This window comes from Homo sapiens, chromosome 18 (assembly GCF_000001405.40).
Source record: "Homo sapiens chromosome 18, GRCh38.p14 Primary Assembly".
Taxonomy (NCBI): domain Eukaryota; kingdom Metazoa; phylum Chordata; class Mammalia; order Primates; family Hominidae; genus Homo; species Homo sapiens.
Window position 1 is genome coordinate 14,476,076 of NC_000018.10, and position 22,990 is coordinate 14,499,065.

The window sequence follows — 22,990 nt, forward strand, 5'->3', positions numbered from 1 at the left end:
CTTTTTTTATTATTAATGTTCTGTTTACTTATTTTTATATTTTATAAATAAACTTTATTCGTATAAAACAGGCCAAACATCTGACATTCAAAAATGGCTACTGTTATAAAATCAGAAACATAGAGTGTTGGGAATATTGAAATTTCTAAATCTTTATGAATAACACAATCACTTACGTTATATCCACAAAGAACAGAAAAGAGGCAAGCTTGAAAATGTGAGGATAGAAAGGTGTCACAGTGATGTGTTTTTAGAAACAGTACCTTCACCTCTAAGCACCTTTCGGGTAGGTGATAGCTAGCTCATAGGCACCAGAAATTCATAACAGAAATTAAATTACCCAAAAGGCACAGAAGAAAATGTTAACACAAGTATAAAAGTAATTTTATGTAAGATTAAAACCTATTTTAAAATGCTTCCAAATATGTAAAACTATAGACAAATCCATTACACATTCAGCTTAAGTTTACCATTAAAAAGTGCACACACGATACTCTAACTGTAAATACATGCCACTGTTTATAATGTAGCATTTACCACCACAACACCCAAAGATATTAACAGAAACCAACTCCCTACTAAAATCTAGGGAAAGGTTTTACAGCTAGTGAAATAATTTATTGCAGACCGTATTTATTATAAAGAAACTGTTGGCTCATTCTACTGTATCCACACTCCCTCACAATCTTAAGGGAAATACAATAAATCCACTTTCTTCTCCTAAAATGATATTTAGCACATTTGGCAAGGAGTAGTCCCTTTACTCCTTCTTCTTATCTTTTTTTCTTTTTCTTTTTCTTTTTTTTTTTTTTTTTGAGAATAAACCACTTTCACAAAACTAAGACTCAAACTTTTTCAAAGCTCAGCTTGATTTGCTGGAACTACACAGAGACATGCTTGATCACACAACAGCAACTGTACATCTTCCCATGTCTGGAATACAGAACTGATGGAGGACACTTACTTGCTTAAAATATATTTGATTATTCTGCATTTATGATAAAAATATCATCCAGGGATCATATTCAAGAGGGTAAATTTAGGATTACATGTTTCTAGAACATATAATATGTAATGCCATGCCAAACCAACAACAAACAACATAAAGCACTGAAACTGAAGAACCACTTAAAATTTAGAATTAGGAAATTTCAATCTATAATTGTCAAACAATAAATGAGTTATAATATTTTTCTAATAAGAAAAATATCACCTAAAGTGGAAAGCCAGTATTTAGTCCGGAACTATGAGATACTACATCCTTGATCTGGCTGGCCACCATTTTAAAGACCACCACAGATCTCAAGGCATGAGACCACTCACCAGCAAAATCTATCCCTGCTATTACACCTAGTGTCATCTCAATATGTGGCTGACAGCAAATGTTCTAACTTAATCTGATAGATGCTCCTTTAGCATATAAAAGAGCTTGCTAAGTCCCTATTACCTGTAGCAGTCTATCAACTAAATATTTAAGAAATCATTTCATAGACAAGGTTTATGAATGACTTAGAAGTAAAATTAGTAATTTCTAAACCACTGTAGTGTTTTCTATGTTTTTAGAGATATTCCTAACACAGAGTTTTCCAAGGAGCTGTGAAAACAAGTACAAACACACATGTGTAATTTTGTCATGGATGTTTCTGTACTAATTTGGGGGAGACTGGTGGGCCATAAATAAATGAGATACACATCCTAAAAATAATGGTAAAAATTATCAAGTACCACTTTCAGATGGTTACTCAAGTATCAACTTGGTATGCAAGTAAGTTCACCAATGTCTTCACTTATGATTTCATATTCAAAGTGCTACATCTTACTTAGGTACTGATAAATTTAGAAACCTTTATAATCAACCTCTTAAAGAAAATCCAGCTTTTTCAGATGGTAAACTTGTCTTTACTAACTTTAATGCCTGTAACTATTTCGATATAACCAAAGAAAAATTTTAAAAAATATATTCCTTACAGCTCCTGATTAACTTATTTTTGGATACATTTTGAGGCTAGTAACAAAATTTAGACCAGAATAGGTTTTCATATATCAAAAAAGGAAAGGAACACGGAAAGCACAGATGAGACGTATGGAGGCTCTATACTATAGACCCATCCTTGCTCTGTGCGGGAATCATCACAGGAATCACGCCCATTCGACTTAGATTAGGGGCAGCTACCTTAGCAGGTGGGAGAGTTGGACTCTGAGGAGTGCGTTCAAAGTCTTCACTCGGTACTTGTTTATACTGAGTCTTGGAATATCCCTCCATGTTGGAAGGAGACATGGATTCCAGGGATGAATGATTACTGCCTATGCAGCTTCTGGCAGCGGACGTACGGCTCTTTGGAGGCGGCACATCTTCCCTGATATCGTGATGAACTTACTTTTCGTATTTTTCTTCTCTGCGCTTTTTACGACAGCAAAAGATGATAAGACCAATGAGCACTAGAGCAAGCAAAGTTCCTATAATGGCTCCTGCAATTAGTCCAGCTTTATTTGAAGGAGGGACAACGTTTACACGCAACAGGCACTGATCAGAGCCCACTCCGTTTCTGATGTACAGCTGTATGTCCCAGAGTACTCAGAAGAAGCATTTTTTTACAGATATAAACAGATGAAGTCATTTCTGCTAACCATGAAGTGGGCATTTTCTGTGAGTCAGACAATTTTTGCCACTCATACTGTAATGGAAGTGAACCTTCTTTTGGTTCACATTTTAGTTTAAAGTCACTTCCAATTTCTTCTGATCCATCAACATAACATCTTGTACCTGAAGGCTTAACAAGAACTACCAGCTGAATCTTCTTATTTGCAACACCAGGAGCTTTTTTTCACTTTGCACTGATCTGTGCCAATATCTGACAGCTGTAAATTCGTTACATTTATTGATGCATCACCAGATTTGAGATCATTACTCTTAAAATGTACTCGGCCTTTCAGTTCTGGATAGTAATCATCATAAATTTTGTTTCCAGAATATAAAATCATCACTTGATCCACCTTCTGATTATCAGCTGGTGATATCAGCCACTCGATGTCCAGTGGTCCCTGGTCTTCAGGACTAAGCGTAAATTTGCATGGCAGATAGGTAGTTTCCCCTTTGGCTTTTTCAATCATCTGCTCAGGAGTAGTGATACTCAAACTTCTGGTGAAATCCGCGACTCCGCACAGGAGCACGAAGCGCAGCAGGAGCGCCATGGTGGCTGCCGTGCCGTGGGCGGCGGCTGAGGTAGGCGGCTCTCGCTCCAGGTCCTAGGCTCCCCGCGCCTCGCGCACTCAAGATAGAGAAAATCTTAAAGACTCCACCAAAATAAATGGTTAAAGCTGATAAAGAAATTCAATAAAGTTAATAGTTACAAAATCAACATACAGCTAGCATTATTGTTTCTATACACTAATGACAAACTATTACCTGAAAAATAAAGTAATAAGGCAATTCAATTTATAATAGAATCAAAACAGATATAAAAATATATAAAAGACTTAGGAGTAAATTTAATCAAGAATGTGAAATATTTGCACACTGAAAACTATAGCACATTGATGAAAAAAATTAAAATGGCATAAATAAATGGAGAAACATCCTTTACTGATGGATTCAAAAATTAGTATTGTAAAAGTGTCAATGCTACCCAAAGCAATCTACAGATTAAATGCAACCACTATCAAATTCCCCGAAATAGAAAAATTACTGCTAAAATTTGTATGGAACCACAAAAGACCCCGACTAACCAAAGCAATCTTGAACAAAAAGAACAAAGCTGGAGGTATCAGACTACCCAATTCCAAACTATATTACAAAGCCATAGTAATTAAAACAACATAGCAGTGGCATAAAAACAGACAGGTAGAACAGTGCAAAGGGATATAGAACCCGTAAATAAATCCGTGTGTCTGTGGTCAATTGATTTTTTGATAAAATGACTAAAAATACACAATGAAGAAAGAAAATTATTTTCAATAAATGGGGTAGAAAAAACTGAATATCCACATACAGAAGAATAAAATTTGACTTTCCTTTTGCTCTTTATACAAGTATCAAATCAAAATTAAAGACTTAAATGTAAAACTACTACAAAGAAATATAGAAGAAGACTGTATGACATTGGCCTGAGCTATGATTTTCTGTAGATTATTCCAAAAGCACAGGCAACAAAAGCAAAAACACACGAATGAGATTGCATAAAACTAAAAAGCTTTTCCACGGAAAAGAAGCGATAATAGAATGAAGAGAACCCACAAATGGGATAACACTTTTAAACCATACATCAGATAAAGGGCTCATATAATAATATATAAGTAACTCAACCTACTCAAAAATAAGAATAAAACTATGCTTATTAAAAAAAATAAGCAAAAAACCAGAATAGACATTTCCTAAGGCATACAAAAGGCCAATAGGTACATGAAAAAATCAAAAACATTTCTAATTATCAGAGAAATGCAAATCAAAGCCACAATGAGATATCACCTCACACATTTTACTAAGGCTATTATAAAAAGAGATGGAAGATAAGTGTTGATGAGGATGTGGAGAAAAAGAAACCCTGTACACTGTTGGTAGGAATGGAAATTAGTACAGCCATCTTGGAAAACAGTATGAAGTTCCCTCAAGAAATTATATTTACCCTATGATCCATCAATCCCACTTCTGGATATATGTCCAAAGGAATTTCAATCGGTATGTCAAAAAGAGACATCTGCAATTTCATGTTCGTTGCAGCATTATTCATAATACCCATGAATTAGAAACAACCTAAGTGCTTATCAACTGAAGAATAGATAAAAATATGTGGAAAAATTGGAACCCTTCTACACCACTGGTGAGACTTTAAAATGTAAAACAGTCTGGCAGTTCTTCAAATGGTTAAACATAGAGTTATCACATGACCCAGCAATTCCACTTCTGTGTGTTTACCAAAAAGAAAATAAAACAAATGCTACACAAACAGTAGTACACAAATGTTTATAGCAACACAAAGTAGAAAACAACAGAAATGTTCATCAGCTGAGGAGTGGATAAATAAAATGTGGTGTGTCCATAAAACAGAATCTTATTTAGCAAGAGAAGGTAAAAAACTGTTAATGCATGCTCCAAAACGGATGAACATTAAAAATACGTTAAGTGAAAGATGTGAGTAAAAAGTGACTATGTGTTATTATGATTCCATTTATGTGAAATGTCCAGAATAGGCAAATTCATAGTCAGAAAGTAGACGAGTGGTTGCCTAGACTAGGAGGGGTTTAAAAAAGGCTGGAGAAAATGGGGAAAGATTGCTAATGGGCGCAAGTCTCTTTTAAGGAGAATTAAAATGTTCTAAAATTATATTATGATGATTATTTGTCCATCCAGTTAATATACTAAAAGAATTTGAAGTTTGTACTTTAAATGAGTGAATTACACAATGTATAAATTATATCTCAATAAAGCTGTGGAAAGTTAAAAGTATATGTAGGATGCATACAAAAATACTGCTTATCTTTATAAATGAATGAAATTCTGTCATTTGCAAAAACGTGGATGGATTTAGAGGACATTATGCTAAGTAAAATAAGCCAGACACAGAAAGACAAATATCTCTTAATATCACTTATATGTGAAATCCAAAACTGTGCACTCATAGAAGTTAAGAGTGGAATGGTGGTTTATCAGAGGCTGAGCAGGGTGGGGGGCAGGGGTGGAAAAAGGGGAAATATTCAATGGGATAATGCTTCAGTTAGGAGAAAGACATTCTGGTGATATGGTGCACAGCAAAGTGACTGCAGTTACTTATAATGTAGTGCATATCTTAAAAGTGCTAAAATAGTACATTTTAAATGTTTCACCATAATGTAATAAATATCTGAGGTGAAGGATACGTTATTTAGCCTAATTTGTCCATTTCACAATATTTACATGTATCGTACCACATTGTACCCTATATATATTTATTTATCAATAAAATCAACATTTTAAAAAGTGAGAAACACAGATGTGCTAGATCTTCATCTAAAGACATTTCTGAGAAAAATGTATCTGTTTTCTTTCAAAAGAAATTTACACTTAATAGATATTATGGTAACTAAAGTAAGGCAGATAATTTTGGCCATCAGCTTATATTATGGGATAATCTCTTTTTGCTGACCTTGTAAAAGCTGTGGCATATTAACAAGTAGGAACATTTTTTTATCACGATCAGGTAAAGGTTCTGCATGTTTCTATTTTGAATAATATTTTCCCCAGGAATCACAAAGTGTGAATGCCTTTTCTTTCAGAGGTCTAGCCCTAAATGGTTTAGTCAATTACATCATGCATTCTGAAATAAGTACTGGTGCATTTGGGAAGGTACTATATACAATTGTGTTTTAAATTTAACTATCATATAAGTCTACTTTTCTAGTTAAGAGTCTATATTTTATAGAGGCCCTCCATATATATAAGAGATTTTCTGATAGTATATCCATTAGATTTCAAAGATAAGTAAAGGAACAATTTTGCTTTTATTTATTATTATTATTTTTTAAGGCTAGTCAAGTGAAGCAGTGGGAGTGGAGAAGGAACTGCTTTAATTTTTATATGTTGGTGTTACAGGCTATATGTGACAGGCTATATATTTTTCTGCTGAATTTTAGAAACAAAATGAAATATTTATTTCATATTTCATTAGATTTAGGGATGATTACATTGAGGGGTTGGGACTAGACTGAAGGCACCACATCATCAATCACTTGGAAACAATATTTTGCCTATGTGTTATGTTATATTGACAAAAACTTTTATTGTTGCAGGCAATATAGCTCCCTATTGAAATATGTGAAAAATGTAGAGAAAAAAAGACAATATTTGCTATCAAGGGATATTTAGGCCTGAGATGCATAATGCTAATATTCAAAACATACACTTTTTAAAAATTAGATTTAAAATGTAAATTGAAGCAGGACATTTAGAAAAAGACATAATGTCTACTACAAAAGTCCTGGGTTAGAAAAGTTAAAATGCTAAATGAAAAAATAATGCTTCTTGGGTGGCTTAAAATCAAATATGAGACAAAAGATTACTCAGAAATTTTTCTAAGATTAAAAACATGTATACAGTTTCTTTGATATAAAATGAAATAAATGTCTGGATATAACTTTAACAGAATAGAATAGGGAGACAAGGGCAAAGAGCAGGTGTATGCAGAATAAAGTGAACATATTATTGTAATAATGAGAGGGACAGAGTTGAATGATTGCTCTTGGAGACAAGGGATTTTGATGTCTAAGTTAATGACAAATCTTTTGTTTGCAAGTTAAAAAATGTAACTTAAACCTGGTGAAGGAATAAAGGGTGGTTGGGGGGATGATTCTTTGTACACTAAACTTATTTTAATGACTAATGAATTAATCATAAGTTCAAATGATTTTATGGAGGCCCTTTCTTTATTTGATATTTCTGGACTCCTTTTTTCTTTGTATGTGCTCCATTTTTACCTACTTCAACAATTTTTACCCTCAAAGTTTAGGAAACACTGTAACCAAATGTTCCAACATGATGTAATCCCTGAAAGCATTTGCAGCTGGGGGAGTAGGGGAAAAGGGGTTTCTCTTTCAACAAATGCATGTTAATCTCAGTGAAAACTCAGAAGTTTAAACATGGTCCCCCTTGGGTCATGTGGCTACCCCAGGACCAATCATTGCACCAGACATAGGAGATAATCTCAAAAGTCAGGTTGGAGTCAAGGTTCTTCAGTGGAATTTCCACTTTAGAAATCAGTTTTGTCAGGCTTTGTGTTTGCATATTACAGACATGATAGCCATATAGCTATCTATTCCACTTCCGGTAGAGATGAAAACCTAAGAGCATATGCCCATTCAAAGGATTTTACATGAATCTTCACAGCAGCTTTACTTGCAACAGCCAAAACCTGAAAACAGTCCAAATATCCATGGACAGGTGAATTTGTGACTTATAAACTTACTATGGTATCTGTATATAATGAAATAATACTCCCTAGTAAGAACAGAACAATTGATAGATGTAGCAACATGAATAAATCTCAAAAATAGTGATGCTGAGTGACCAGAAAGTATACATACCCTATGATTTTATGTGTTTGGAAATAAAAACTCATGGATAGTGACTGGAAGTGGATCAGTGGTTGCCTGTGGATGGAATGGGGATAGGCAGGAAAAAGTGAGTAGAAAAAGCACAAGGAAACTTTGGTGGTAAAGGTAATGGATATGTTTGCTATTTTAATATGTTGTTGGTTTTGTAGAGCTACAAATACCAAGAATTATCAAAATGTACAATTGAAGTACGTGCAGTTTATTGCATGAAAATAAACCTTTTAAAAATTAACCGATAACAAATTTACTTACATGACCAGAAAGGTCTTGAAAAACTCTCCTGTTTTCTCCCCTATTTTTATTCTTGCATGCCCTTATAGCCTGTGTTAACACATTTCTCATCTTACCATTCTTTAGTGTCTACATTTCTCCAGGTCAATATAACTACCACCATAATTTCTTGGTTTCTCTTTAGTTCATTAGTAATTATGAGTAATGTATTGAAATGTTAAAGATATGTTCATGCATTCAGAATCCTCTGCTCTCTGATCCACATAATAGTGAATTATGCTGTCAATAATTACACAGTATAGTGCTTTTTTTTCTTTTTTGAGACAGAGTCACACTTGGTTACCCAGGCTGGAGTGCAATGGTGCATTCTGGGCTCACTGCAACCTCCACCTCACAGGTTCAAGTGATTTTCCTGCCTCAGCCTCCTGAGTAGCTGGGATTACAGGCATCTGCCATCATCCCCGGCTAATTTTTGTATTTTTATTGGAGACAGGGTTTCACCATATTGGCCAGGCTGGTCTTGAACCTCTGACCTCAGGTGACCTGCCTGTCTTGGCCTCCCAAAGTGCTGGGATTATAGGCATGAGCCACCACACCCGGCCAGAATATTGCTACTTTTGCAAATAGCTACAATTGACCCTGATCTGGACTTTGAGTTGATCACAGCTTTGTAAAAGAGGATAGCATTGTAAAACTACAAAATTAGCCTAATAATAAATAACATAGAATGCTTTCAGTATAAGAAATAATACTATCCTAAGCAAAAATAAATAAATAAATAAAAGTGGAGGAATTATATTATCTGACTTCATATTATACTACAGAATTATAGTAACCAAAAGAGTAGGGTACTGGCATAAAAAGAGACCCATAGATCAATGGAACACAATAGAGAACCCAGTAACAAATCTACATACCTACAGTGAACTCATTTTTGACAAAGGTGCCAAGAACATACACTGGTGGGAAATGATGTTGAAAAAACTGGATATCCATATGCAGAAGAATGAAATCAACTTGCCAGAATTATATCATTGTGCTTTGCATCTAGTTTCACTTTTCCAAAAGCCTATACAGATTTCAGATGTTTAGAAAATAGCTCTTGTTTTCCTTCTGGGTAATCTTTTTCATATTTCATATTTCATTAGATTTAGGGATGATTACATTGAGGGGTTGGGACTAGACTGAAGGCACCACATCATCAATCACTTGGAAACAATATTTTGCCTATGTGTTATGTTATATTGACAAAAACTTTTATTGTTGCAGGCAAATTTCCTAGGACCTCCCTTCTGCGTCTTTTAAAAAATGAAAACAAAATCAATGTAGCGCAGCAAGCCAGGGAGTCTGCTTTGATTGACTTATGGCCATAGTCACCCAGCAGTTCCTTCAGATGTGGCTTCCCAGGTCAGCCACTGAGCCCACCCCTGTCTTCCTGCCTGCAGAAGTGGCTCTGTGAGCCATTTGAGGAGAAAATGGGGGACTTTGGGCTTCAGCCCGAGGAGAACAGGGTGGAGATGGAGGAGCCCCTGGGCGTCCGCAGGTTAACTGAAAACATGAGAAAACACAAGCACGGGACCAAGTCTGTCACTAACCTGTAAAAAACTCTCACCAAGCCGACTGGGCACTTTGTCTGAGCGCCTGCCTTTGCCACCACTGTGTGCGGGAATGCCTGGGGCACGACTGGGCCATCCCAGTGTTCTTATGTCTATACATTCCGAGGTTACCCCTCAGCAAAACGCCAGAGGCTGGCAGACACAGCGGAGCATCCTGCAGTAGGGATCCGAAGCCGTGGAATCTCCAAAGGACCACTTGACCGCGTCCCAGAATCTCCAGCTCAGGCCGGACATTGCCCAGAAAGCCCACATCGTCTTTGGCAAGACCTCCCGGATTGTGGTTTTGATTTGCATTTCTCTGATGGCCAGTGATGATGAACATTTTTTCATGTGTCTGTTGGCTGCATAAATGTCTTCTTCTGAGAAGTATCTGTTCATATCCTTCCCCCACTTTTTGATGGGATTGTTTGATTTTTTCTTGTATATTTGTTTAAGTTCTTTGTAGATTCTGGATATTAGCCCGTTGTCAGATGGGTAGATTGCAAAATTTTTCTCCCATTCTGTAAGTTGCCTGTTCACTCTGATGGTAGTTTCTTTTGCTGTGCAGAAGCTCTTTAGTTTAGTTAGATCCCATTTGTCAATTTTGGCTTTTGTTGCCATTGCTTTTGGTGATTTAGACATGAAGTCCTTGCCCATGCCTATGTCCTGAATGGTATTGCCTAGGTTTTCTTCTAGGGTTTTTATGGTTTTAGGTCTAACATTTAAGTCTTTAATCCATCTTGAAAAGTTAATAATAATAAAGATAATAATATGGAAGAAATTTAAAAAAAACCTCCCAGAGAGCAGGAACTTGGTCGGGGCGCGCGGCCTGAGATCACCCCAAGCTCTGGGTGCCTTCCTATCCTTCTGCTTCTTCCTTGGCCGCTTTAGGGGGCGCGCCTCGCCGTGGGTCTCCCTGCGGGTGGTGCAGTGGTGCTCCTGGATGTCACCTCCAGGCGCTTTTGAGACTGCGGCAGGCACCGGGCACCAGGCACCTGCGGATTGGCCTCCCCAGACCGGGCTCAGGGACCTCCAGCGCTCCGCGGTGCGGGCTGCAGGCGACCTCAACGTGGAGCTGCTGCCAGCGCCACAGGCCCCAGGGGAGGCCCAGGATGCTGCTTCCCCGCCCCAAGAAGGGCAGTTTGGAGGAAAGTCTTTGGCCTGATGGAAGGCGGCGCCCATCGGGGGCGGGGCTGAGAACTAGGCTGGCGCCGCTGCCTGGTAAGCGGGGACCAAGAGGCCCACGGCCTCCATCAGGAAGCAGGTGCTTCTCCAAATCCCGGATTTCCAGGAGGAACAACGGCGTCAAGCTGGCTGACACCAGGAACACCCAGAAGTCCCCGCTCCTGTCTGTCCTTCCGCACTCAGGAGCGGGGATGGCCACAGGGACACCATCCGCCCACAAACCGCTGGCGTTTGTTGCCATGGTGCGCGGAGATGCGGTCCCCGAGGAGGCCACTTTCGGCCAGGACGCCGGGATCGTATCAGCGGCAGCATCCCGCGCTGACACTCAGTATTGACTTTCCCCGGACATTGCTGGATTTTTTGCTTTTTAAAACAACTTTGCAGTGGGAGAACAAAAAAGGGCATCCTCAGAGCTTTTGCAAAATTCTCCTGGACCTGTGGTTCCATGGTGTTCACCTCTGCGTTTTACGGACCACTAATTGGCCAGAGCTCCTAAGGCCTATAAGGGCCCCACCCAGCGCTTTAGACACCCCTGAGGGACATTCGCGGCTCAGGAGGATAAAGGTCCTCAGGGGCCTGCCGCGAGGAGGACATGCAGCCCCTCAGCCACCACATCTTCCTCCATTCCAGCCTGGAAAGAGAGACCTTGCCCTCCACCTTACAGGCCTTCATGACCTTGGGACCCACTCTAGAGGCCACGCGCATTTCCACTGCCAAAGCAATGACACGAGATGGAAAGAAATTCTTGGCCAGGCGCGGTGGCTCACACCTGTAGTCCCAGCACTTTGGGAGGCCAAGGCGGGCAGATCACGAGGGCAGGAGATCGAGACCATCCTGGCTAGCAAGGTGAAACCCCGTCTGTACTAAAAACACCCAAAAGGCGGCCGGGCTTGGTGGCGGGCTCCTGTAGTCCCAGCTACTCGGGAGGCTGAGGCGGGAGAGTGGCGTGAACCCGGGAGGCGGAGCTTGCAGTGAGCCGAGATCGCGCCACTGCAGTCCAGCCTGGGGGACAGAGCGAGACTACGCCTCAGAAAAAAAAAATTTTGCCTTCACTATATGCCTAAGTAATTTCTCTATTAGAGCCCAGAGTCGTGGGGCCCACACCGCCAGCTGACACATGAAAATGTGGCAACGATGTGGTGGTGTCTCTGTGTGGCAGCGTGGTGGTGTGTCTGTGTAGTGGTGTGTCCGTGTGGCAGAGTGGCTGTGTGGTGCTATGTCCATGTGGTGGTGTGTTCATGTATCTGCATGGTGATGTCTCCGTGTGACAATGTGTTTGTGTATCCATGTGACAATGTCTGTGTGTCCTTGTGTCCACATGGCAGTGTCTGTGTGGTGGTGTCTGACAGTGTGGAGGTGTGTCCATGTGACAGTGTGGCGGTGTGTCTGTGTGTGGCAGTGTCCATGTGGCAGTGTGTTTGTGTGTTCGTGTGATGGTGTGTCCATGTGACAGTGATGTCTCTTGTGTGTCTGTGTGTCCCTGTGATAGTGTGGTGGTGTGTCCATGTGGTGATGTCTCCGTGTGTGTGTCCCTGTGATAGTGTGGTGGTGTGTCCGTGTGGATTTCTCCGTATGTCTGTGTGTCCGTCCATGTGAATGTGCCAGTGTGTCCATGTGACGGTGTGTCCGTGTGGTAATGTCTCCGTGTGTCTGTACATGTGACAGTGTGGTGGTGTGTCCGTGTAACAATGTGGCGGTGTTCCCTTCCCGGCTTGCGAAGCTGGCGTCTTTCCCTCTCAGCCCAGGACGCCCCAGGAGACCCCCAGCTTGGAGGGCAGGAGGTGGCTTCTGTGGAGGGAGGCGCAGGGAGCCCCAACAGCCGAGTTTGTGGGGTCCCCTGGGGAGTGAGGAGAAAGGCGCCCGGGCAGCCAGGACAAGCCTGGGCCTGCCCTAAGGAGGTGACCCACTCCGGGCCTGCATTTTGGGGCGAGCACTCCAGCTCTGTCATCTTGTCCTAAGTCCTTTGTGTGCCGTGGAGATTGCTGAGTTTTGAAGAAGGGAAGGTCATCTTTGTCGCGGAAAGCCTGATGTGTTTCTCTATTGCTGTCACTTTTCAGCCTCATCGCTGGTGAAACATCAAACATTGGGCACATTCTGCCAAGAAAACTCCCGGAAGAAAATGTGGGGACTGGCAGTATCCAACCAGAGGAGTCACACACAGATTTCTGTTTGGTTGGAGATCGGCCGTTTTTCCCTGTGGGTGGGGGAAGCGGAGCAGCTCTGCAGCGGGAAGGAAGGTGGGTTCTGTGCGGCCAGGAAGGTCCTGGCCCGGGGCGGAGGGGCGAGAGGGGATGTGCGGCGAAAGGCTGTGCAGGGCAGCGGGCAGTGTGCATCGCCCCTACTGCCGGGCGCCCAGGAGGAGGACAGGTCCCGGCCTGGCGGGAGCAGAGGCGGCGGGGCTGGAGTCCCCACACCGGGCTTGAGGGCCGGCGGAGCCGCAGGCTGTGGCCGAGGGGGACTCCCGGGCACCTGGTGGGCGTCCCCATGACCAGGATACACACCGGGCTCCGGAGGCCAGGCGGACCAAGCTAGGGGTGCCAGGGGAGGCTCGAGGTTCCCGCGGCGGGAGGTGGGTCCCTGGACCCTGGTGTCCTGCTGCTGTCCCACACATGGGCCGCCTTCGCTCAGGGGCACCCCGCCAGGGTCGCCTATCTGGGACCTCAGCGCAGCTCCTAGCGGGCGGGAGGCTGAGGCAGAGACCTCGGGGCCCAGCTGGGTCTGCAGTTTCCACCACTCGTGACGCAGGGCGAGCTCAAGCTGTGCCGCCCAGGCAGGAAACCCTCCGACCTTGCCATCTTTGGCGCCAGCCTTGGTGACTGTCTCCAGCTCAGCTTCAACACCTTTCAACAGTTCTGTGTTCTCTATTATCACAAGAATTCTTTCTGTATTTCCTATCCTTTATCAAATAGGCATTTAAATATGCATATGGAGTGATATCACAGTTGAAACATTAAACAATATACAATTTCATGTGTCTTTTTTTGTTTAATGTATAATTTTCTAAAAAGTAAAATTATGACTCTACTGCAAATATAAGATAAACACATATCAACAATGTTTTTCAACTCAATAAGCGATGAGGGTTCCAGTAAATAGGTTCAAATCCTTGCAAGGAACATTAAAGGAGCTTTACAGCCAGTGTTAAAGTCAGATCGTTGGGTACTTACAGTACTGGTTAGTATCCAACATAGCCAGAAGCTGTCATCTTTGTGAGTTCTCTCTTCCATGGCACAGAAATAATGTGTTTTTCTACTGTACAAAATATTTATCTTTTCTACTACTTCTGCACATAAAAATATTGCTAGTCAGAAAAGACCAGGATTGCACTGAAAAAAAATCTCAGTAATATCTCTCACCTGTATTCATACTTCTTTTCTTCCTTTATGAAATATCTTTCAACTGCATTTTCTATCTGAAGGTTTATAGAGAGAGGAAAATGAATAAAAGCATAGTAAGTGAATATTTGGTAACATTTTGCAGCTTTATTCATGTCTAATGAACATAAAACACACTTCCAATATTTAAAGTGTAAATGAGATGAATTTGATATGTACATGTGCCCATTAAACAATCACCATGAAGGGGACAATGAGCATATCCAATACTCTCAAAGCTTCCTAGTTCTCTTTTGTAATGCACACTCATACCTCTCAGGTGTGAAGTATTGAGCTTCACACATACACACAAATATATACTGGGATATCTAATTGTTTCAGAAGCATTTGTTGAAAATGTTATGTCCATGAATGGTCTAAGAACTTCATCAAAAATTAGCTGATAGCTGATATACATGTGTATATCTATATTTGTACTACATTGTCTTAAGTATTACTGTAACGTTCTAAGTCTTGAATCCAGGTGCTCTTGATTCTCCAGCAGCACCTGGTTTCAAAGTAACTGTTTCCTTTCAAAGTAATTTGCCATTATAGGTCCTCTACCCATCGATGTACATTTCAGAATTTTAGTTTCTCAATTTCTAAAATAAGAAATCCAGCTGTGATTTGATTGGAATTCTTATAGATCAATGTGGGAAGAGTAGACATCTTAACAATATTGAGATTTATGACTCATAAATTCCATTTATTTAGGTCTCATTTATTTTAGCAATATTTTGTAGTTTTGTAGTTTTCAAATGTTTCTCTTTTTTGCTGGTTTATCTCTAAGTACATATTTTGATATTTACAATAATATCAAAATTATGGTAATATTAATGCAAATGTTGTTTTATTTTTTCCTCCATTAATTGTCAGGTAGTTTCAAATCATAATTTAATTGTATGATAAAACTGAATTTTGTGAGAAATGTATATTGTATATATACTGTTTGTCAGTTTGGCAGATTGACTGCATTATCATATCATAATTTAAAATTGCACTAATTACCACTCAGCCTCCTCTCAAGGACAATATATCAAAATATATAGCATGTTTCAGTTTATTTCGCATCATGAAACTCTCATATTGCACTTACTTTTGGAAACCTGGAATAATAAAATAATGTAAATATCAGTTCACAGGCGACATATGAGTACATGCGACAATTTTCTAAATATCTACCTATCGCTCTTTAATTCTATGTTAATATTGTCAATTTTTTCCTCCTCTTGAAACTCTGTTATGCAGCTTATTGACTTTTGGTTCAATTCCTTCCCTGTTTTTCCCCCAATCTACTTTCTAATATTTTACTGATGTTGTGCTCCTTTTTATCTGGACACTTTTAAAAAGCTGTGTAATTTCTCCTTTGTATTAAAATGCAAATCCATATCCAAAATAAATGAGCGGAGGGACCAAACAGATGTTTGTGCAGTGTGTCCATTAGCAATATTATTCACAATAATCAAAGGGAGGGAGCAGCCCATGTGAATATTGATGGATGAGTGGTTAAACAAAATGTGGTATATACGGCAACATAATAATATTCAGCCTTAAAATATATTCTCACACATGCTACAAAATAGTTGAAACTTGAAGACATGCTAAGTGAAATAAGCCAGTCAGAAAAATTCAAACATTCTATCATGCCACTTCTATGAGTTACTTAGTGAAATTTGTAGAGACAGAAATAGAATGGTGATTGCTAGGGGGAAGGAGAGGGAGAGGAATGGGAAGTTGGTGTTCAATGAGTAAAGCATTTTAGTTGGAGAAGAAGACAAGTTTTGGAGGTCTATGGTGGTGACTGTTGCACAATAGTGCAAATATACTTAATGCCACAAAACTGTGCACTTAAAGTGATTAAAAAGGTAAATTTTATGTTGTGTATATCTTTCCAGAATTATAAACCTGCCATCACAGTATAGAAATAGAATATATTATATAGCGTTAGGTGATGATATTTTACACATTTGCACATAATTAGAATTTCAAAGCCTTAATTTCAGATAAGGTAGTCTAAGACATAACAATATTGATGTAAGAAAGCCATAAGCAATGTTTATTTTCAATCAGATTTACTAAAAAATTTTATTGAACTGGTCAATTTTCTTTGCCAATATTACTGTATTCTTATTTCTAGTAATAGAGGTGTGAGAAAGCATCAAGGAAACTTAAATTGCATTCTCATACTGACTGCATACAATAATTCTGAAAACAGCAGAAGTTATGTATATCCCCCATAAGTAAAACATGAGTAACACAACACAACAAAAATTAATAGGAGACAATTCAAATAATGGTGACTTGTTATTCTTATCTAGTTAAGTACTATTCTTTTCTAACAGGAATTTGCTATTTCAAATATATTTTCTGAGATGTCTACATTTATATTTTGAGATGACATACAAACTTGAGTCAATGACATAGAATTTTACAAATCAAGAAGCTTATTCTGGCGCCATTTCTTTTGACATTTTCTCTAAACTACTAGAGCGGCATTAATGATCCATAAATTATATTATCTACATTTACAGCATTTAAAATGTGTTCAGCATGAAATATTAGCTACAGGGTAAGCTAAATAAATTAAACATGGGATAAAGATTTATCCTTAAATATAAATTACAAGAAGACTTTGATATTAGTTTTTCACAAGTGAAGCATTCTTATAAAATGTCATAACCTTTTTGGGGAAACTCTGGGAAAAATGGAGAAACTCTGAAGGGTTTTAAGTATCTTTCCTGAAGCTACAGACTCCATAACCTCTCTTTACAGGGAGCTCCTGCAGCTCCGACAGAAATGAGTGGCTGAGATTCCTGGTTGCACAGCAGAGCTTCTCATCCAAACCCTTTCCCTTTTTAGTGTCTGTGTATCAGTATAAAAGTTCTATAAACTGTAGTTACTTATTTTAATCCCAAAGCACAGTAACAATATATTTCATCCAAGGGTTGGCAGTTTCTGTGAGTGTTTTGTCTAATTCTCCAAAACTCTATCTACAGGATTCCAAAGAGCCTAAAAAGTAAAATATTTTAAAAAGGGGAAAGGGAGAAAGGGAAAGAAAATAAAATTAATAGCCCATTCTGTCACTGTTATTAAACACCAGAGTACCTTTCTGCTAATCTAATTAAAATTAGTGACATCATTTAACATTTATGTCTTCAACAAAAGTTTGGAATCCTGAAAAAGACATTTAATTTGCTAATAAATATATTTGAATCGAATTGAAATCCTTACATATTACTTTAAATAAAGAACACAAGATGATTTATGATGTAGAAAATTCTATCCCTCATTGTCCAAAATCTAATAGTTAAATTGAACTTGTTAAATAATATTTTTGGCCAGGCATGTGGCTTACACCTGGAATCCCAATACTTTGGGAGGCAAAGGCAGGTGGATTGCTTGAGCTGAGTAGTTGCAGACCAGGCTCGGCAACATGGTGAAGCCCAATCTTTACAAAAAAAAAAAAAAAGAAAAAGAAAAAGAAAATTTAGCCGCGCGTAGTGGCTTGCCTGCCTGTAGTCCCAGCTACTCAGGAGGATGAGGTGGGAGGATCACCGGAGTCTGGGGAAGCTGGGGCTGCAGTGAGCCATGATTGTGCCACTGCACTCCAGCTTGGGCAACACAATGAGACCCTGTCTCAAAGAAAGACAGAAAGACAAGGAAGGAAAGAAGGAAGGAAGGAAGGAGAGAAAGGAAGGAAGGAAAATTAATAGTTTTGGTGCCAATAATCTTTATGGAATTTTGCTTTAATGAAATAGATTTAACTAAGTAGTGACATGATCTGCTTAAGTGTATTGACCCTAGCAATCAGAGGCCTCCGTATCCCCACAATGACTTAACAGTTACATTTGACAAGCCTTGATTCTCCTAACCTACGCACAGCATAGTCAGAATTTCAGAATTCCAACTTTCCCTATGCTATTTGGGCACATTGCTTAACTTCTCTAAGACTTGATATTTTTACTCTTAAGATACTACTAATAATAGTACCTAGTTTTTATGATATAATGTGCATCAAAAGCATTATACTTTCAGGCAGATGGCAATTTCTCAATAAATATTTGCTAATGTTTTAGTACAAACAGGAAAATTGGATTATGATATTTATGACACTGTTGATTCTCCTTCTCGAAACATTTGTTTCTAAAACTTGCTTTCAAATTAGAGCACTATTTTGTATTCAGAATGAAAATACTATATGTTCAGATTTTTAAAAAAACAGTATTGCATGAATGTTTTAATTAAAATATTCCTAAATGAGCTTGAGGAAGGAGGACAGGGGAGATAAGTAAAATAAGGCTTTGTGGCATAGGAGACATTTGGTGGAAATCTTTCAGCTCAACTAAGATTTGAAAAAAAAAGAGAATTTTTATAAAAAATGTACAGGCAGGATTTACCCTGATGAGCTTGTGGAGAAAATACAGAGTCTAACATAATTCAAAAGAGACTAATCAGTCAAAGTAGTTTTGAAGGAATATCTTGAAGAGAGAGAACATAAAATGAAGATCAGGTATGTAGTTATTTTAATAATCTATCCATGAGATAAAAAGCATTGGGTTTTATTTTATTTGTCAAAAAGGGACAATAGTTCCAAGAACCATTCTTTGTTCAGCCTAAAGAGGTTTTTACATTTTGAACCAGCGACATATTGTGCTAAGTAGGATAATATCCAAATTTGTGTCTATATCAACAATTTTGTTCTCAATTAAAAACACTTTATTCACACAACTGATGATTTTCTGCATTTGATTTAGTGCTGAACTGTCAAAGGGGGACTAACAAAAACAAAATATTAGAGTTGCAAGCAGTGTAAGTGGAAAATAATGATCATATTGAACTCATCATTACTGAAATAAGAAAACAAAGCAAAAAATAAATAAGAAAAAAATTGACTACATGAACATTTGCTTCTCTCCTAAGAATCAAAACCCTTAATTTTCTGTGGCAAAAAAGCATCTGGGTCCATGAACCCATGCAAAAGTCTACTGTTTCTGGGAGATAAGAAGAAGCAAAACACATCAGCTTTCAGAGAAGGTTAAGAAACCTCTCATACCCTACCCTACCCTACCTGACACCAGGCAAAGGATCACTGCTTCTGGGAGAGGGATGCAAGAAAAATACTCCTCCATCAGGAGAGGAACAAGGATTGTTTTGGGGCCCAGGATTTTGCACTAATGCAGAGTCGTGCTACTGTGGTAAAGGTTTGGAAAGTCTCCATCCAGTGACCACAGACAAAGGTACATTGTTCCTATGGAAGGAAAAATAAAAGAGTTTGTCCTTATTGTGGGGTTGAAAACTTGCAATGATATAAATCAGAGGTTTTCTACTACTGAGGTGGGAGGAGGGTAAGCTATTATTTCTTCTGCAAAAAACAACACAGGTAAGTGACAGTTTGACTCCCACTAGAATAAGAGTCAAGAAGTGCTAAAAATACCCCTTCTGTGAGTGTCCAATGATGAAACTGGCTCAAAAATAACATGAATCATCCCTCTGTCACCAACCTTAATTTTTTGCCTAGTCACACACACACACACACACACACACACACACACACACACACACACAATGATGTTCTACAGTTAGAGAGGAACAAGAAAGTGGAGAGAGACCCTCTCTATAACATAGGTTGTAAGGACTACCGAAAGCTAACTGTGGAACAGGATCATTGGCATATGCTCTCCAGAGTCTAAGGCCCCACACAAGGCACATCATATAGCAGCCTACTGCTGGAGAAATCTGAGTTACATTGGTCACTGAATGTTTCAGACACCGCAGCAAAAAGCAACCTTTGTTCCTGCCCACACTAATAGCATGACATAAAAATGAAACAGAAATATAAAACAATCTCGACATAAATAATTATCTCATGATCTACTGTTTTTCTACATCAGATGATTTGCATTTTTTAGAAATTGGGAGACATAAAAGCAAGTTAGAAATTTGAGTTATGAGTTATAATATTTTCAAAGGGTAAAAAGTCAACAGAATCAAATTCAGAGATAATTCAGATGTTGGAACTAAATGCAAGTAATTTAAAATAATAATGATCAAAATGTTAAAGGATCTAGTTAAAAAAAGACAACATGTATGGAAAAATGAGGAATTTCAGCAAAGATGGGAACAGTAAAAGGCAAAATCTAGAAATAAGTGAAAGCATGAGAACAGAGATGAAGAATTACATCAGCAAGCTGATTAGCAGACTGGTCATCAGAGTTAAAGAAAGAAGCAGTAAATTTTATACTAGGTCAATACAAATCATTTGAATGGTAGCACAAAGGGAGGAAAGAGAAAAACCAAATAAACCAATAAACCAAGCAAATAAAATACTCCAGTGAATCCAAGAATTCTCTGGTAATATGAAATTAACTAAAATACAATTAATTGGAATTACAGAAGGAGAGTAAAAACAGAATGTGAGAGAAGAAAAATTTGAAAAAGATGACTAAGGAGACCAAATAACCTCAAAATATCCAAGAAAGATTAATACAAAATTTAAAGAACGCTAGAATAATCACACTAGTCAAACTGCTGAAAACCAATGATTAGCATAAATCTTGAATTCAGTCACAGAAAAAATAGGAACACTGTGTAGAGAGATAAACAGAAACAAACATTATAATGAACTGCTTGTCAGTAACTCTACAAGTCAGAAACCAATGATACAGAATTCTTAAATAACTGAAGAAAAGTCAACCCCCAATCTTATATCCATTAACTGTAATACAGCAAAAATATCAATTAAATGACATTTGCAGATTAACACTGGAAGAGTCCCTTGCTAACAGGTATGCACTAAAATAAATGTCAAAATCATTTCTTGAGGCAAAAGGAATATGGAAGCAGGTGAAAGTTGAAACTACACAAAGAAATAAATAATGCCAGAGAAGATATAAAGATATATAACCCAATTATTTTACATTGCTCTAAAGATAATTGTCTAATTTTTTAAAAAAAGAGTAACTTTATATTATGGAATTCATAATATTTGAGACTATAATGCATGACATAAATAGTATAAAGGAGAGAGGAAACAGAAATATACATTTTAAGGTTTTTATACCATAGTTGGTATAGTACAAATTATAGGTTACTGTAATAAGCTAGGATAGGTATTGAAATCTCTAGAAAAACCATGAACATTTTTTAAAAATGGTATGTGCATTGTTTTCATAGAACTTCCAGCTTTTGTTTTTATTCATTTACTTTTATTTATTTTTTTTGAGATGGAGTCTCGCCCTGTTGCCCAGGCTGCAGTGCAATGGTGTGATCTCAGCTCACTGCAACCACCTCCGCCTCCCAGGGTTCCAATGATTCTCCTGCCTCAGCCTCCTGAGTAGCTGGGATTACAGGTGCCCACCACCATGCCCAGCTAATTTTTGTATTTTTAGTAGAGACGGGGTTTCACCATGTTGGCCAGGCTTGTCTCAAACTCCTGGCCTCATGATCGGCCCACCTCGGCTTCCCAAAGTGCTGGGATTACAGACTTGAGACACCATACCAGGCCCCAGCTTTTAGTTTTTAAGGTAGTTGTTGTGTTATTACATGTGAAGTAAGGTTATTCTTAAATATCCATGTTTTGAGAATTAATGATAATGACAAATTAATTTATCTCAATCTAAATGACATTTTAATATTAAATATTTAAATATTTTTATTATTTTTCCTTTTTAACAGAAGTCATTCTAACTGGTGTGAGATGGTATTTCACTGATGTTTTGTTTTGCATTTCTCTGATGATTAGTGATGGTATGCATGTGTTAATATGTTTGTTGGCCACATATGTGTTCTTCTGAAAACTGTCTGTTCACGTTCTTTGCCCATTTTTTAATGGGGTTATTTATTTTTTGCTCGTTGATTTGCCTAAGTCTCTTATGGCTTCTGGATAATAGGCCTTTGCTGTATGCATAGTGTGTGAATATTTTCTTCCATTCTGTAGCTGTCTGTTCAATCCCTTGAGAGTTTCTCATGCTGTGTAGAAGAAGCTCTTTAGTTTAATTAAATCATACTTGTCAATTTTCATTTTTCTGGCAATTGCTTTTGAGGACTTACCCATAAATTCATTGCCAAGTGCAATGTCCAGATGAATATTTCCTAGGTTTTCTTCCAGGATTTTTATAGGCAGAGGATGTAATCTCATGTCAATGGGTCTTAATAATCAAATGACTCCACACTGAGAATCATTACTGTGAAAAATCGATTTTGTTATAATGATGGAAATTTAAACATATAAAAGTAAAAACAGATGCCACCTCTTTGCCAGAACTCCACAAGGCAAATTACTATAAGAGAGGCAGAGGAAACATGATATATATATATATATATATATATATATACAATCTCCAAAATATAATTTGCAGTGAAATAAATGAAAGCACATTATAAATAAACTTACCTGATTTTGCAAACTAACCTGTAAAGGGATTTGTACTAATTTTTCCATTGCCTGCATTGCCCTTTCTTCTAGATCCAATTTATATTTTTGTACTTCACCAATGTGTCTTCACCAATGTGTACTTTCCATAC

General features: G+C 38.2%; 2 pseudogenes across 1 annotated transcript; one reads left to right on the forward strand and one right to left on the reverse strand.

Annotated features, from left to right (window-relative positions):
* Window positions 1-1,876: 1,876 nt before the first annotated feature.
* On the reverse strand, window positions 1,877-22,646 carry CXADRP3 (CXADR pseudogene 3; annotated as a pseudogene). Its single transcript, NR_024076.2, has 3 exons — window positions 22,517-22,646; window positions 14,450-14,505; window positions 1,877-3,318 (listed from the first exon to the last, which is right to left on the reverse strand). The product of NR_024076.2 is annotated as a CXADR pseudogene 3 (transcript).
* On the forward strand, window positions 9,729-11,419 carry GRAMD4P7 (GRAM domain containing 4 pseudogene 7; annotated as a pseudogene).
* Window positions 22,647-22,990: the final 344 nt, after the last annotated feature.